This window comes from Homo sapiens, chromosome 2 (assembly GCF_000001405.40).
Source record: "Homo sapiens chromosome 2, GRCh38.p14 Primary Assembly".
NCBI classification, from domain to species: domain Eukaryota; kingdom Metazoa; phylum Chordata; class Mammalia; order Primates; family Hominidae; genus Homo; species Homo sapiens.
In genome coordinates, this window is record NC_000002.12 from 117,832,952 (window position 1) to 117,849,682 (window position 16,731).

The window sequence follows — 16,731 nt, forward strand, 5'->3', positions numbered from 1 at the left end:
GATATGAAGGAGCCAGTTACTGGTATCACGTACAGTGAGTGAAAGCAGCACCATCTGCAAGGCTCGTGCACAGTAAGAGCTTCATTTGGTGGCAAATGTGAGCGTTTGACAGGTGGAATTAGGTGGCTGCAGCCATGAAGGTTCGAAGGCAGAATGTGAGGTGGGGGAGCCAAGCACATCACTACATGCAGGTAAGTCTTTGGGTCCTGTGGGCTGCAAGTGATGACACTGCTATGTCTAAATTTATTTAGTCTCAGCCAGCTTTGTATAAATAAAACAAGATACCCAAAACAGGATCCCTAAGTTATACAGGGCTTAAAAGTGAGAGCTCTGTAACTAGAATGCCTGGATTCAAATTCCAGCTGTGCCACTTGCTAACCTCAGGGCCTGATTCATGAGTGAAGCAAAAGTAATACCTCCTTCAGAAGGCAGTGCTCAGGACAGTGCCCTGGTGCTGAGTGCTCTGTCCATGGTACCGGCCTCCGTGCATCCTACGTGAAAAACTTGCTGCCATACAGCAGCAGGTACAGAGGCTCATCCCAAACCGTGAGCCAGTCTGGGCTTTGGCATACAGGATTTCTAACAGTCTGGATCTCTTGGAATTCTGGAGAGCAGACTTGGGCTTTGGAAAGCGGTCCAGTCCTGCAGCACCTTCCTAAGGTAGCTGTCAAGTATATTAATGCTGTTTTCAAGGTTACTGTACTGAGTATGGGGTGGCAACAACAACAGTGTGCGTTTGGATAACCTAATTCATCATAAATTAAAAGCCTGTTAGATGTCATAAACTGCAGAGGACACAGAAGAATACGCCCAGATCCTTCTTGGGATGGATACAGATTAGAGAAGGTAGGCATAAACAGTTGCAATATTGTTTTCTAAATGATGTGATAGATGCAGGCAAATATTCCAGCTATTTTTATTAAGCCTAGAAATCCTGCATCCTCGGGTCCTAGTGGACTATGATTTTCTTGCCCCATCTCTAGGAGATTCTGATTCAGTAGGCCTTTGCCAGGGCAGAGGTATGTAGGTGATGCTCACGCTCAGCTAGGTTTGGGAGCAACCAGACTAGAACCCATTCACATACAGACTCTTAGTAAATGTTTTCTGCTCTCATCTTGCAAAGTGAAAGTGCCCAGCACAGGCAATGGTGTTAGTACGTTGTAGTCATTCACAAACTAGGGCTGCCCAGAAGAGAGACAGGCTGGGACTTTCGAGAGAGAAACAGCTGTTTCATTTGAATGCCTGGTGTGGGAAGAAGAAGGACAGCCTAGCTTCATGGAACCTTCTTGCACCAAACAAAGCCTCCAGATCCCTCCACAGTGCTCCATTCAATCCCTGTCCATTGGTGGTGGACCAAAGAAGAAACCAATTTGCCTTGGCCACATGTCTTTGAGAAAAAAAGCCACTCTCCCTTCTGGGACTCAGAGCATCTGTACCTGTAATATAAGAGGGGAATGTGGAAAATTCTAACTGGATGATCACTTTTCTGTGGAGGGAAAAACACATTTTTTGTTTTAAGGGGCTAGCCAGCATCAAACCTTTTTTTGAGATGGAGTCTCGCTCTGTCACCCAGGCTAGAGTGCAATGGCACTATCTCCGCTCACTGCAACCTCCGCCTCCTGGGTTCAAGCGATTCTCCTGCCTCAGCCTCCTTAATAGCTGGGATTACAGGCATGTGCCACCACGCCCAGCTAATTTTTGTTGTTTTGTTTTGAGACGAAGTCTCGCTCTGTCGCCCAGGCTGGAGTGCAGTGGCGCAATCTCGGCTCGCTGCAAGCTCGGCCTCCCGGGTTCACGCCAGTCTCCTGCCTCAGCCTCCCGAGTAGCTGGGACTACAGGCGCCTGCCACCACGCCCGGCTAATGTTTTTTTGTATTTTTAGTAGAGACGGGGTTTCACCATGTTAGGATGGTCTCAATCTCCTGACCTCGTGATCTGCCCGCCTCGGCCTCCCAAAGTGCTGGGATTACAGGCGTGAGCCACCTCACCCAGTCCGCATCCAACCTTTTATTTGGAGACAATACCTTTCAAGTACTGGTGGGTTACTGAGATCACCTCCCATCAGACAAGCAAAAACGCCTCCCATGCAGCCAGGGTGGGGCTGTGACCTGGGTTTGGCTAATCACATACATTTGCCCAGAGTGAATCAGATACTAACTAATAAAACAGGAGCAGAAACAGTAGATGTAGCAGCTTTCTCATCCAGGGTCCAGAGGCAGCTGTGTTGGGAACAGGCAGCTCCAGCTGTGGCACCCCGCAGCAGCCGTGCTCACACCAGGTTGAGAGTGACTGAGTGTGTGCCATGACTTTGTCCAGGGTCCTGCCCTTTAGCTACCTGCCCTTGTTCCTGCCTATTTTGCAAGCCTAGTTCTGCAGCCATTTCATATCCTTTCAATTAATTCTGTTTCAGTTTAAATTACTGAGTGGCTTTTTGTTGCTCATAATTAGCCCAAGGATACAATAACCGCTAAGGTCTGGTTTCTCTCTCCCTCTTTTTGTCAAAATGTCCAGGTTGCTTGCCACCATTCTTGTCCTCCCTGCCTGGAGCCTCCTGCCCCTCGGCACAGGGAAAATTGGACATTTTGAGCAAGGCCAGGACTTTGAAACATCTAGGGCAAGGATGCGTCGAAAAAAGAACAAGTGGCAAACTCACCACCTCGGGACAGGTCATGGGGAAGCTGCTCTGGAGGTTTGGGAGGCAGGCAAAAGCAGGATGCTTGGCATCGCTGAGAGCCTCTAGAGGAGTGTCCACAGCTGGGAAAGGGGGAACCAAGGGTTGTCAGACCTCCCAAGGCAGCACTTTCTGGAGTCAGGCAGAATGTACAGGAGCCTTGGAGCAAGTGAATTCCCTGCTCTGTGCCTCAGTTTCCTCATCCGTAGAATGGAAGGAATGAAAACACAAGGATTAGGTGTACAGTCAGGCCAAGTCAGATCTTAGAAACAAGACCTAACGACACTATTATCAGGAACATCAGGAAAAGGGGAAGAAGGTCAGAAACAAGAGTTTTCTAGGACTTACCGGTTTCTCACACCCTCTCCCCACCATCAAAATCATGGTTTCAGAGGCATTAGGCCAAAAAACTGCAAAAGGGAGCCTCCTTCTGGGAAGTCTCCGGCCCTTCCGCGGCTCCCGGCGTCTCCAGCAGAGGGCTCTCGGCTGTGCCGACTCAGGACAGCTGCTGCGACGGGGCCGGCTACGCTTGTCAGAGCAGCAGCTGGTGATTTTGGACTTGCCTTTGCTGGCAGGGGAGCGCTATCGAGGGTTCATTTTATCCAGCTTGAGGAAAGAAAGGTCGGAGTGTAGGGGAAGAGTGGGACAAACACGCGACCCAGTCATGCCGAGAGCATGCGCTGAGGGGGACGTGGAGCGAGGAGTGGGGCTCCAGGCTGCTGAGGCTCCGGACCAAGTGCCCCCTGCACTTTCAACGCCGTAGGTCTCCCGGCAGCCCTGGAAGGACAGTCTTACCCGGACGCCACGGTGGTCTCCCGGCAGCCCTGGGAAGGACAGTCTTACCCGGACGCCACGGTGGTCTCCCGGCAGCCCTGGGAAGGACAGTCTTACCCGGACGCCACGGTGAGGGAGGAGAAGCGCAGAGTCAGCCGCAGACGGGAGGGCGATGGCCTAACCCGGACGCCAGCGCGGTTTGCTCAGCCCTAGGGCCGGGCGCTTTCCCGCTCCCTGACCGCCTCCTGTTCCTCCGCAGGCCGAGCTGCCCTTCCCTCCCTGCTGCCCCCAGGGAAGGCTGCTGGTGTCCTCAGATGCGGGCAGGAGGAACCCGCCAGCGCCTGAGAGCCTGGCCCGAACCAGGCCTGGAGGTGCTGGGGCGAAGACACAGAGGATGTGGCCTCCATCCCTGGTAACAGACGGTTACCAGGGCGGCTTTGGGTGAGGACATTGAAAAAGGTCAGACTCCCTGGGAGCAGCGCCCTGGACTCCATTCTCATCACAGGTATATTTGTGTGGCTACTAAGAGTAAGAGCCTGGGGGTGCAGGAGTGATTCCAGCCCCCTCCTACAAAGTCATGTGAGAGGGATCTGAAGAAAATCCAGGGGAAAATGTACCACAGCGAGGAAATCGCCATCTAAAGGGCTGAACGCTCAAGAACGGCGTTGGGTGGGCTCCGCGTTGGAGTTGAGTCCCGAAGGATGTTCTAACAGCAAAGGGGAGAAAGGAAGAGAGAAGCCAAGGCGTGCGGGCAACGTGAACCGCATGAGCCGAGGCAAAGGGGCAGCGTGGGGCTGGACCCTGGAGTCTGCTCCTGTCTGAATTCTAGTGCTGTCACTGACTAGCAAGGAACTTCCCTGTGCCTCGTGGCTGTCACATGGAAAGACAGCACCGCCATCCAGCCCTTATACCGTAAGGGTTATATGAACTAGCACTGTGGGCATTAGCAGAGCATGCTGTACACTTTGGTATATTGTGAGAATGAAATAAATCAACAAATGCAAAGCAGGTTTTGCATAACAAAGACTAAACAAGTGTTAGTTAGCTCCTTTCCTCCTTCCCGCCTGTGAAAATGCTGTCTTATGATGTCCTTTAATTATTTCGTGTGGTTAAGCTTCAGCTTATTGGCCAGTTCATCCTTGTAGATACAAGTATTTTTAAAGCCTCCAATTTTAATTTCCTCACAGACCATTGCTGTACTTGTCCTTACATCTACTTCATACTGAAATTTTCTTTCTGTTTCTTTATGTCTCTGCATCTAGACCAGTGGTTCCCAATTGAAGTCAGTTTTGCTCCTCAGGGCACACTTAACAACATCTGGAGACATTTTTAATTGTCCTGACCGAGAGGACAATGCTACTGGCATCTAGTGGACAGAGGCCAGGGATACTGCTGAACATCCCGCAGTGCACAGGACGCCTGCAACACAGATTATCCAGCCCCAAACGTCAATAGTGCCGGAGTTATGGAACCCTAATGAAGACAATTCTTGAAGGCATAGACTGAATCTTATTTATCTTTGTTTCCCTCATGTCTCACAAGCAGAGTATGAGTTCAGCAAATAGGAGTTGAACAGAAATCAGGAGGAGGTGCTGATTGACAGGAAAAAAGAAAGATTTAGTTTAGAGCTGAGAATTCAGCTGGACAGCCATAGGGGCTCTGGCATGGAGACTGGAAGTCAGAAGAGAATTTGCAGCAAGACATTTAGAGCCATTTATCCAGCCATCATAATTTTATTGAGTAACTATTTTGTGTGAGGCACTGTACTGGATGCTTTGGCAACAGAGATAAGCAAGGCAACCCCTGTGAATAAGGCACTCCTGGTCTACACACAGTGGGAGAAACATAGAAATTCATCTCTTCTGAGCGGAGCCTGTGGGAACCCAGAGGATGGACACCCAGCGTGGTCTGAGGAATCATGGGCCAAAACAGGAGGCATCAGGAGAGATCTCTTGGGTAAAGAAGAGTGAGGGCTGGAAGGATATTCCAGGCAGTGGGAACAACTTACATAAAGTGAGAATATTGCAAATGCCTAGCGGGTCTGTAGTGAGAGGGTCATGAGGCGGAGGAGTGAGGTGCGTAGCAAGGAATAGCAGGTGGGGCCAGAGCAGTAAAATTAACCATTGTTCTATTTGAAGAAGGGTAGGACGCATTTTTAGGTTTTTTGGCTATTTCTCCTTTTGGTAATAGCATCTATTTTCTTTAGAGAATTATCTCTTCCCCCTCACTCCTCTCCTAGTGGAGGTACAGGCATGAGAAAAAGCTAAACCAATGACATGTTCTCAAATATAACTTACAATCCCAGGAGTCATGATGAAATGGTTGAAAAAAAAAATAGTTGAAGCTCACTAACCTTAGCATCACATTTCAATGAGATTGTCAAATAATTCTTGTTTCCCAGGCCCCCAGAGCTGCCGAGTTTCTGACTTCTCTAAGCCAGGTTCACAAGCCTTCCCTTCAATTCTGTGAGGATTTTTTTCCCCATTTTTCCTGAAGTTACGTGGTCACTTTCTGTTACTTGCAACCAGAGTAACTTAATTGATAAAGTCAGTGAGGAAGGAATAGAATACAACAAATGGCTTAAAAACAGAAGGCCAAGCGTGATGGCTCATTCCTGTAATCCCAGCACTTTGTGAGGCCGAGGCAGGTGGATTGCTTGAGCTCAGGAGTTCAAGACCAACCTGGGCAACATGGCAAAACCCCATCTCTACCAAAAATACAAAAAATTAGCCGGGCGTGGTGGCTCACACCTGTAGTCCCAATTTCTCAGAAGGCTGAGGTGGGAGGATCACTTGAACCCAGGAGGAGGAGGTTTCAGTCAGTAGAGATTGAACTACTATACTCTAGCCTGGATGACAAAGTAAGACCTTGTCAAAAAAAAAAAAAAAAAAAAAAAAAAAAAAAGAAGGATAATCAAGACAATGAGCTAACACAGAAGCCATAGTGGACTTTCTTCAATATTTTAAGAAAGGTGAAAAATAGCAGGAATTTAACCTCTCAAAAATGCTATTCCCATTATCTATTCTTCCTCAGCTACAAAGCCCCTGATTTCACCTAGGCACATGGCTGCCCAAAAAAGACAACCCTGTCTGGCCCCCCTTAAACCTGATTGTAGCTATCTAAGTTGTAGCCAATGAGGTGTCAGAGGAAGTACCATGCAGTGCAACTTCTTAAGTAGCCTAGAAAGATGGGGTCACATCCCCCTGGGTTGTTTCCTTCTTTGTGTCATTTTGATCTCTCTCGCTGGAAAACAGAAATGATGTCTGGAGTGTAAGCAGCCATCTTGGGCTAGGAGACTACATGCTGACATGGTGACACACCACCCAGAAAGAATCTGAGTAGTCGATGATCACAGAGCTACCATATCAGCACTAGACTCTCTACCTCCACATTTTATTTGTGTGACATAGAAATAAAGTTTAAGCTTTGTTTTTTCTGGGGTGTATGTGTGTACACATGTGCGTCTCTGTCTGTCTCACATGCAGTGAGACCTAATTCTAACTGATATGCCGGTAGGATGGGGGGACCTTGCCACAAGGTATAATTGTGGTGGGATGGCTGTGTCTTGCTCCCATTCAGGATCCATGGAAAGCTCCTCCTCCTTCCTGTTCCCCTGGATGCCAAGCGATGGGCCTGAGACCCTGGCTTTGCCATGTGGATGCTCCCCCTCAGGACTTTGGATGTGCAGTGATTGCTACAAAAAGGGCAATGAAGATGCCTGGACCACAGCCACACAGTCTCCATCACAGCAGTGGTATTCTGTGGAATGAGTACTAATTTTCTGGCCACATTTTCTGTTAAAAACTGGTTGTTGAGCTGCCCACTTGTCTTGGTCAAGGGATGCTGGAGTGGCCTGGGAAGGCAGTGTTGTTTGCTTTTCTTAGGATGGAACACACTTAGGCATATTTTTGGTCAAAGCAAAAGAAGAATTCAAAGGTGAGAGAAGTTGAAGATAAAAAGGGGAAAATGAGGGTAGCAGATGAAGCAAAGTCACACAGAAAGCTGGCAGGCGAGTAGTAGAATCAGAGTACAGGCTGAGCATCCCAAATCTGAAAATCCAAAATCGGAAGTGCTCCAAAACCTGAAACTTTTGGAGCACCAACACAATGCTCAAAGTAAATGCTCAGTGAAGCATTTTGGATTTCATATTTTCAGATTTGGGTTTGCCCAACCGGTGTAATACAAATATTCCAAAATCAAAAAAAAAAAAAAAAAAAAATCTAAAGTCTGAAACACTCCTGGTCCCAAGCATTTTGAATACAGGATACTCAACCTGTATGACACTTTCCTATTGGACCCTCTTTCCTACCCCAAATAATACTTAATAAGTTTTTGTTTCAAAAGTGCCACTCTGAGCATCTTTGGCTATAAGGAGCAGAGTCACATTCTAGCTCCCCTGGCACCTGCTTCACAGGAGCCCATGTGAGAAGACCAGGTTCTGGTCAGGACAGGCATACCTGAGAGCTGTTGGGGTCTGTGATCTGCTGAAAAATGACTTCTCAATGTTCTTCACATCCTAATCCTCAGAAACTGTGAATATATTACTTTATATGACAACAGGGATTTTAAAGATGTGATTAAGTAAATAGTTTGGAGATGGACAGATTATCCTGGATTATCCAGATGGGCCCAATGTAAACACAAGGGCCCTCATGAGAGGGAGGCAAGAGGGTCAGAGAAGATGCTGTGACAGCAGAAGCAGAGGACAGAGAGTCGCAGAGAGATTTGAAGATACTACACAGCTGGCTTTGAAAATGCAGGAAAGGGCCATATCTGTTGCTTCACACCACTAAGTTTGTGATAATTTGTTACAGCAGCAGTGGGAAACTAATAGAGCATCTTTCCTTTTTTTCTAGTTAAAGGACTCACTTGTACGTGTACACATTTCTCAGGAGTCCTGTCAACCACTGGGAAGAAAGAGGCTGGACTTCTGCATTGAACCCAGGAACGGGGTTTCACAGCAATGGAAACCTGGGGTTAAATATCAATGGAACCTTACATGACTTGAAGAATCTTTAATACAAGCTAGGTTTTGACCCCAAATTAGACATTTGGCAGCCTCTCATTACAGTCTATCTTGCAAACCTCAGTGTGGCAAGGAATCAGATTCACCCACACTCCCTAGTCTAAAGGATTGTCCTCTGATCCTTCCAGGTGGATTAAGCCCTTTCTAATCTGTCATGGACAGAGCAATGTACCTGCCTTTGTTTGTTTTCCTTAATTCTTTCAAGTGCCTTTGGGTAATAAATGGTTGCGTACTCAGGTTTTTAGTCCAAATTTTTTTTCTTCAACTCTAGGTAATTGCTTTACTTGCCAGAATAGGTTACCATAGCAATATTTTCTGAGCAATAGGTGAACTGAATTGTACTATTGAGGAAGCCCAGGAGAAAAATACTAATAACAACCTGAGAAAGTCTAATCACTTTATGGAGCCTCAGGGCTGTGAAGAGGGGGATAAGACGGACTCCCTGGGTGATTAGGAAGTGCTGCTGCCAGCTCACACAGGACGCAATGTGAGAAGCCACCCATGGTCCCCAAATTCCCCCATCTCCTGATATCCAAGTCCCCCATCCAAGCTGCTTAAATGACAAAAGACAAATGTAAACTGGGGAAACATTTGAAATGCATATCAAAAAGGGGTATTTCACAAAGCTCTCCAACAGGAGGCCTAGGAAGATGGTAACAGCGATACCAGAATAATGTTTGGATCTTCCAGAGTGCCCATGTGAAAACAGAGCAACCAAACTGAAAAGCCATGGACAACAAAAGTCGGTGACAAAGTGTCACCTTGAATCCTGAAATACAAGTAAGTGGAATTGCTGGTCGTAATTCTACGATTAGCTTATTAAGAAACTGCCAGCTTTGCACAGCAGCTGCACCATTATTTATTACATTTCATGAGAGCTGCAAGTTTTTTGCCTCCTTGCTAACACTTGTTATTTATATTTTTCATTTTTCTTATAGCCATCCTGGTGGGTATAAAATAATATCTCATTATGGTTTTGATTACATTTTCCTAATGACTCATATCACTTAGCATCTTTTTAGGTGTTTGTTGGCCATTTGTATATCTTCTTTAGAGAAATATCTTTTCAGATCCTTTGCCCTTTTAAAAATTGGGAAATTTAAATTGCTGAGTTGAAAAAGTTCTTCACATATGTTGGATACTAGACTCTTATCAAATATATAATTTGCAAATATTTTCTCCCATTCTGTGGGTTGTCTTCACTTTCTTAGTAGTGCACAACTTGTCAACTTGTCCTTTGATGCACAAGTTTCAAATTTTGACAAGCCCAATTTATCCATTGTTTTCTTTTGTTGCTTGTGCCTTCGGTGTCATAGTTAAGAAACCAGTGCACAAGCTACTGCTCTGAAGAGTTTCCTCTATGTTGTCTCCTAAGAGTTTTATATTTTTAGCTCTTAACTTTCAGTCTTTGATAGATTTTGAGTTAATGTTTGCATTAGGTATGAGATAAGGATTCAACATCTTTCTTTTACATGCGGATGTTCCAGAACAATTTGTTGAAGAGAGTGTTCCTTTTCCCATAGAATGGTCTTGGCACTGTTCAAAAATCAATTGACCATTGATATATGAATTTATTTATGAACTCTCAATTCTGTTCCATTGGTGTATATGTGTATCCTGATGCCAGAACCACACTTTTTTGATTACTGTAGCTTTGCAGTCAGTTTTGATCCTGTGAATTATGAGTCATTCAACTTTATTCTTTTCTCAAAATTGTTTTGGCTATTCCAGGTTCTTGAGATTCCATATAAATTTTAGGACTGAGTTTTCTATTTCTGAAAAAAAAAGGCTGTTGTGATTTTGATATGGATTGCATTAAATCTATAGATTGCTTTGAGAAGTAATGATACCTTAATAATATAATGTTGTCTTTCAATGTATGAATATGGCATGTCTTTTCATTTATTTAGTTCTTTTAAAATTTCTTTCAGTGATGTTTTTTAGTTTTCATTTACCAGCTTTGCAACTTTTTGGTTAAATTCATTCCTATGTATTTTATACTTTTTAATGGTATTGTAAGTAGAATTGTTTCTTAGTTTTATTTTGAATCATTCATTGTTTGTGTATAGAAATACAACTCATTTTTAAGTGTGGATCTTGTATCCTGCAACTTTGTTGAATTAATTAGCTCTAACAATTTTTTGTGGATTCCTTAGGGTTTTCTATATATAATATCATGTCATCTGCAAATATAGTTTTACTTCTTTCTTCCCAATTTGGATGCCTTTTATTTCTATTTCTTGCTTAATTGCTGTGGCTAGAACTATGCTTAACCGAACTGGCAAAAGTGGGCATCCTGGTCTTCTTCCTAGTCTTAGAGAGAAAGCTTTCAGTCTTTCACCATTGCATATTATGTCAGCTCTGGCTTTCCATATACGATGATGGTCCTGTATCATGTTGAGGAAGGTCCCCCCAACATTTTTTTTTTCTTTTTTTCTTTTCTTTTTTTTTTTTTTGAGACAGTCTCACTCTGTCACCCAGGCTGGGGTGCAGTGGTGTGACCTTGGCTCACTGCAACCTCCACCTCCCAGGTTCAAGCGATTCTCGTGCCTCAGCCTCCCAAGTAGCTGGGATTACAGGCATGGGCCACCATACCTGGCTAATTTTTGTATTTTTAGTAGAGACAGGGTTTTGCCATGTTGGCCAGGCTGGTCTCAAACTCCTGGGCTCAAGCAATCCGCCCACCTCAGCCTCCCAAAGTGCTGAGATTATGAGCCATCACCATACCCAACTGGAAGTTCCCTTTTAATCCTAGTTTCTTGGATATTTTGTCTTCAACTGATGTTGAAATTGTCAAATGCTTTTTCTACATGCAAGTACAACTTGTTTTATTTTATTTTTTTATTTTTTTTGGAGACAGAGTCTCGCTCTGTCACCCAGGCTGGAGTGCAGTGGTGCGATCTCAGCTCACTGCAACCTCTGCCTCCTGGGTTCAAGCAATTCTCCTGCTTCAGCCTCCCGAGTAGCTGGGACTACAGGTGCACACTGCCATTCCTGGCTAATTTTTTGTGTTTTTAGTAGAGACGGCGTTTCACCATGTTGCGCAGGCTGGTCTCGAACTCCTGAGCTCAGGCAATCCGCCTGCCTCAGCCTCCCAAAGTGCTAGGATTACAGGAGTGAGCCACCGTGCCTGGCTGCAAGTACAACTTTTTAAAGAATTAGAAACAATACCCGGAGGTTGTCTTGTCCCTTCTCCTATTTCATGCTCAAGCCATGCAGGAAAGGGAATCAAGTTTTATTTTCTACTGTGATTAACCGTAATTAGCCCTTCTTGACGTCATTAGTGAAAATAATAGTTAATATTTGCCCAAGAAAATGTTTAAAGAACAACAGAGAATTTCCAGAATTTGTCTTGGAAATTTGTCATGACAGAGTGAGGGCTGGGGCTGGTTGTGTGACTTCCATCACCTGTATCATTTCACCTAGAATACACTAGGCGTTTCATATCTTGGCAATAGAATATAAATGTTACTCAAAAAAGACAATAAGGACTAGCATCTCTTTTGACTAGATGAGTTCAACTGTCAAATGGCTCAGGAAACAGCGAAATCTCCAATGGACCGTACAGGCAAACACAAGAAACTTGAAAAAGAAAAACAGAGAAAACAAGAAAATCCTCCATGACAAGATCATCTGGGAGCTGAAAAGCAATTTGGATGTAGTGCTTCATAACACAAAACATAAGCTCCTTTAAAGCAGTGCAAGTCCCATTAAGTCTTTGTGATATTTTTGCATTTCTTCACACATGATTTAAAATTCACCTATTTCCAAAAAGATGTACAATGAAAAAAGAAGACAATAAACAATAAAAATAGAGATAATTTATAAAAGTACAACAAAGGAAGGGAAAGATATATGCAATTAATAATTAAATATGAGCCACAGTGAGATACAAGGAACACTGACTGAGATGGCTATAATTTAAAAAGAAAAGAAAAAATGGAAAATAACAAATGTTGCAAGAATGTGAAGAAATTGTAACCCTTATACACTGCTGGGGGAGTGTAACATGGCACAGCCACAGTGGAAAACAGTTCACCAGTTCATCAATAAGTTAAACATAGAATTATCATATGACGCAACAATTCCACTCCAAAGGAAATGAAAACAGGGACTCCACCAGATACTTGTATGTCTATGTCTTTGCAGCCTTATTTACAATAACCAAAAGATGTAAACAGCCCAAATGTCCATCAACAGATGAATCCAGAAATAAAATGAGGTTTATATATTCCAACGGAAGATGAAAAGGGATGAAATTCTGACACATGCTACAAGATGGATGAACCTTGAAAACACTTTGCTAAGTGAAAATAGCCAGACACAAGAAGACAAATACTATACAATTTTACTTAAAGTATCTAGAATAGGCAAAACTAATAGAAAAATAAAGTTAATTAGAGGTTACCAGGGGTTGGGAGAAGGGAAAATGAGGAGTTATGGCTTCATGGTTAGACAGTTTTTGTTTGAGGTGATAAAAAAAAGTTTGGGAATAGTAGTGGTGGTTGCATATGTTGTGAAGGTAATTAATGCTGCTGAATTGTACACTTTAAAATGTTTAAAATGATAAATTTTATGTTTATAAAATGTAATATGTATATATGTGTGTATATATATACATATATATATATGTAAAACCACAATAAAAAATTAAATTAAATACCGCTCTAAGCATCCTGATGCCCAAGGCAAAGCGGGGAAATGAGGCTTCCATGCTAACAAGTTCAAGGCTGCTGGCTCTTGTCCCCATGGGCTAGATACCCTCCAACTGAGGACAGTTCTGATACCAACTGCGTCCTAGTCGCACACCAGATCTGCAACCCTATTCACACCCTTTGGTCACAAGTTATAGCGACTGTGCATGGCTCAGGGCAAACCATTTGCCTTCATGAGAAAGAAACTCAGAGTGAGGGGGTGTGGCCTCCTTGTTGAGGTCAGTTCATTTTACCCCAAATATGTGAAGTGGGATAATTTGGGAAGCAAGAGTGAAAGGGACAGATATGCTCTGGGCCTTACCAGGCGACAGCACTTTTGGTCCATTGGAAGGATGGGGTCTGGAAGCCCCTGGAGCCTCAGATTCCAACTACCCACTCCTACCCCCATCTTCCCTGTTTAAAAGTTCCATCAGGCAGAATTGAGCTCTCTTTGGCAATTCCAATTAATCTGGCCAATTCCCTCGAAATGTTTGTTCTTGTCCTTCTCCATTGCCCTTGCCTGGGTCCTTGTTCCTTTCACTCCCCGCTTGGATCCGTGGAAATTGTCACCCAAAAGGTTTCCTCCCTTCAAAGTAATCCCAGCACTAACTCATCATATAGACTGCTGGTAAAATAATACTCCTGCACACACAAATGCAACAGGAAAAGTCTGGTGGTGCCGTCAAGCAGCCTCTCTCAAACTCCCATCATAATGTGCCAACAGCCGGGAGGGGGAGGTGTCACTGCAATGGAGCTGTCGACAGTTGCTAAAACAGCCACACACCTTGTGAGACTTGAGTCACTGTTCTATTAGGTTGGTGCAAAATTAATTGCGGTTTTGCAAAACCACAATTAATTTGGCACCAACCTCGAATGTTGTAATACTCTACAACAAAATGAAAATGTAGTAATTTTCTTAAAAATAAGTAAAATTAGGAGTGATTGTTTCAACTACTGGTATCAACTATGATCATGAAATCTCTGCCACCCAGCCTAAACAATTATTCAGCATCACCTCCACCTAAATAACATTCAAGTCCCTCTTCTGCACCACTATGTCTCATTGTTCCTCACTGCTTGGGGGAGCTCAGGCATCTCAACCTGGCTGTCAAAATTCTTCCAAATCTAACTAAACACCATCTAGCTTATCCAAACCACATGTCTGCTTTGCCCACATAAAACTCGCCGTATCACAAACTAAGGATGTTCATTTTCAAATTGCTTAAGCAATTCCCTACCTAAAGTCCTCAGCGTTGTTCCTCCTCCTTTTCAATTCCTACTACCCACGAACAACAGCTCTCACTCCACCTCCTCCAGGAAGCTTCCCCTGACTACTCTCTCCCATTGATTTTTTTCCCCATAAATATGTTGTTTGAATGGAATGCTAAGTGATGACCTTTCATTGGTCACCATCTTTTATCACGATGGACCTGTTGAGTGTAGATTTCTTTTGTCCATTGAATTGTGCCTTCTTTATCCTACCTCATCATGATTCTTGTAGGTCAGGTTCGCTAGGACACAGACACTGAGACGGGGATTGGTATGCAGGGAATGTAGGAAGATTTGGGCCAAGGGGGAAGCTGAGGCATGACAGTTTTGACAAAAGTCACAGCTAACCCCACTGGGAAGTTGTGAAGCTGATCAGACCCTTCTGAGCCTCAAGTTGGGGCTGGGGCCTGGGCCTTTATATGCTGTGTTGATCATGTCTGAGGGCTGCTCCTGGAACAGGCAGCAGCCTTGTGTGAGGTGATTCCAGAAGAGGCTGTGTGGTGAGGTGAAGGCTGTTTGTGGAAGCTTTCCCAGCAGCCGAGAAGGGGAGTGATACGGTTTGCCTGTGTCTCCACCCAAATCTCAACTTGAATTGTATTTCCCAGAAAGGGACCCAGGGGGAGGTAATTGAATTATGGGGGCCAGTCTTTCCCGTGCTATTTTCATGATAGTGAATAAGTCTCATGAGATCTTATGGGTTTATCAGGGGTTTGCACTTTTGCTTCTTCCTCATTTTCTCTTGCCGCCGCCATGTAAGAAGTGCTTTTCACCTCCTGCCATGATTCTGAGGCCTCCCCAGCCATGTGGAACTGTAACTCCAATTAAACCTCTTTTTCTTCCCAGTCTCGGGTATGTCTTTATCAGCAGCTTGAAAATGGACTAAAACAGGGAGGGAGGGACAACTCAGTCCTTCAGTCCTGAAAGGGGGATCTTGGTGTCAACTATGATGGCCTTAAAAAAAAGAGAATGAAAGGAAAGGAGGAGAACGGAGGAAGAAGAGGAAAGACAGGAAACATCCATCACACTTGTTTGTCAGGTCTTATTTGGAACAGAGTGTGCCAAGGCAGTCACTCCCTGGAGGAGAGAGGCAAGCTGCAAGAAGGCCATGGGGACAATGTGCAGAGCAATGAAGCCTCCTGCCCATAGTGACTGTACCCGCGACCTGGTGGTGACCAGGCAGGCATTTGCACCTGCTGGGCTCCAGAGCTCCCCTTCTTTCTTCACTCGGTGACAGCAAACCAAGACTTGGGTCACATCATTTCTGGGTAAGTATGCGGAGATGCTGAAAGAACAGTGGGAGCAAAAAGAACAAGAATCTTGAACGTCTTCTGTTTTCTCTATGACCCTTAGAAACCCAAAGAAAATTTCACAGTAGGAAAATAATCCATTGCACAAACTGTATTTTTAAAGGTGAGAGCTGGCCGGGCGCGGTGGCTCATGCCTGTAATCCCACCACTTTGAGAGGCTGAGGTGGGTGGATGACCTGAGGTCAGGAGTTCAAGACTACCCTAGCCAACATGGCAAAACCCCATCTCTACTAAAAACACAAAAATCAGCCGGGCATGGTGGCGCATGCCTGTAATCCCAGCTACTCAGGAGGCTGAGGCAGGAGAATCACTTGAACCCAGGAGGCGGAGGTTACAGTGAGCTGAGATCGCACCATTGCACTCCAGCCTGGGCAACAAGAGTGGAAACTCTGTCTCAAAAGAAAAAAAAAAAGTGAAAGGTACGTTTGCTTAGAGGAAGGGGATCCAGAGACTGGATTTCTGTAAAGTCCAGAAAAAAAGTTCAGATTTTGCAAGATAAAAACCATGTGCCTGGAATGTGCTGGAATCAGAAATTATAAACATCAAAGAAACTCTGAGGAGGAGGCGTGGTAAAGACTCTCTCCTACCACCCATAGGAAATCAAATTCCAGCAAAGACAAAGATCAGTACAGGAGAAGAAAGCCTGGGCGGAGAAAACGAGGGAACCCTGACGGAACCTGGGCAACTGGAAAGTATTACTCCTTCGAAATTCTGAAGTTCATTTACAGCTGCCAGTCAGCACACCAGGGAATCAGAAACCACCAGAGCCTTTCTCTGCAGCTGGAGAATTTGAATTCATTTCAGAAACTTCCTGGAGACGAATGAAAGGCAAGGGCTTCCAGAAATCAGAATACCTTCTGCCCCAGGGTCTTGGGCAGAATTGCCATTTTCATCACAGCACGTGAAGTAAGATAGTGAGTGAGGGGTTTTTCTTAGAATCTATACTTAAACTCATGCATTTTTCAAAATATTTCATGCTTTTCTCTAAAAC

At 44.5% G+C, this 16,731-nt stretch overlaps 1 long non-coding RNA gene across 1 annotated transcript; it reads left to right on the plus strand.

The window, feature by feature from the left end:
• The first annotated feature begins 779 nt into the window (after window positions 1–779).
• LOC107985939 (uncharacterized) lies at window positions 780–8,705 on the plus strand. Its single transcript, NR_158150.1, has 7 exons — window positions 780–846; window positions 2,511–2,665; window positions 3,434–3,573; window positions 3,704–3,949; window positions 4,707–5,400; window positions 7,024–7,380; window positions 8,301–8,705. It is a non-coding gene; the product is annotated as an uncharacterized LOC107985939 (long non-coding RNA).
• Window positions 8,706–16,731: the final 8,026 nt, after the last annotated feature.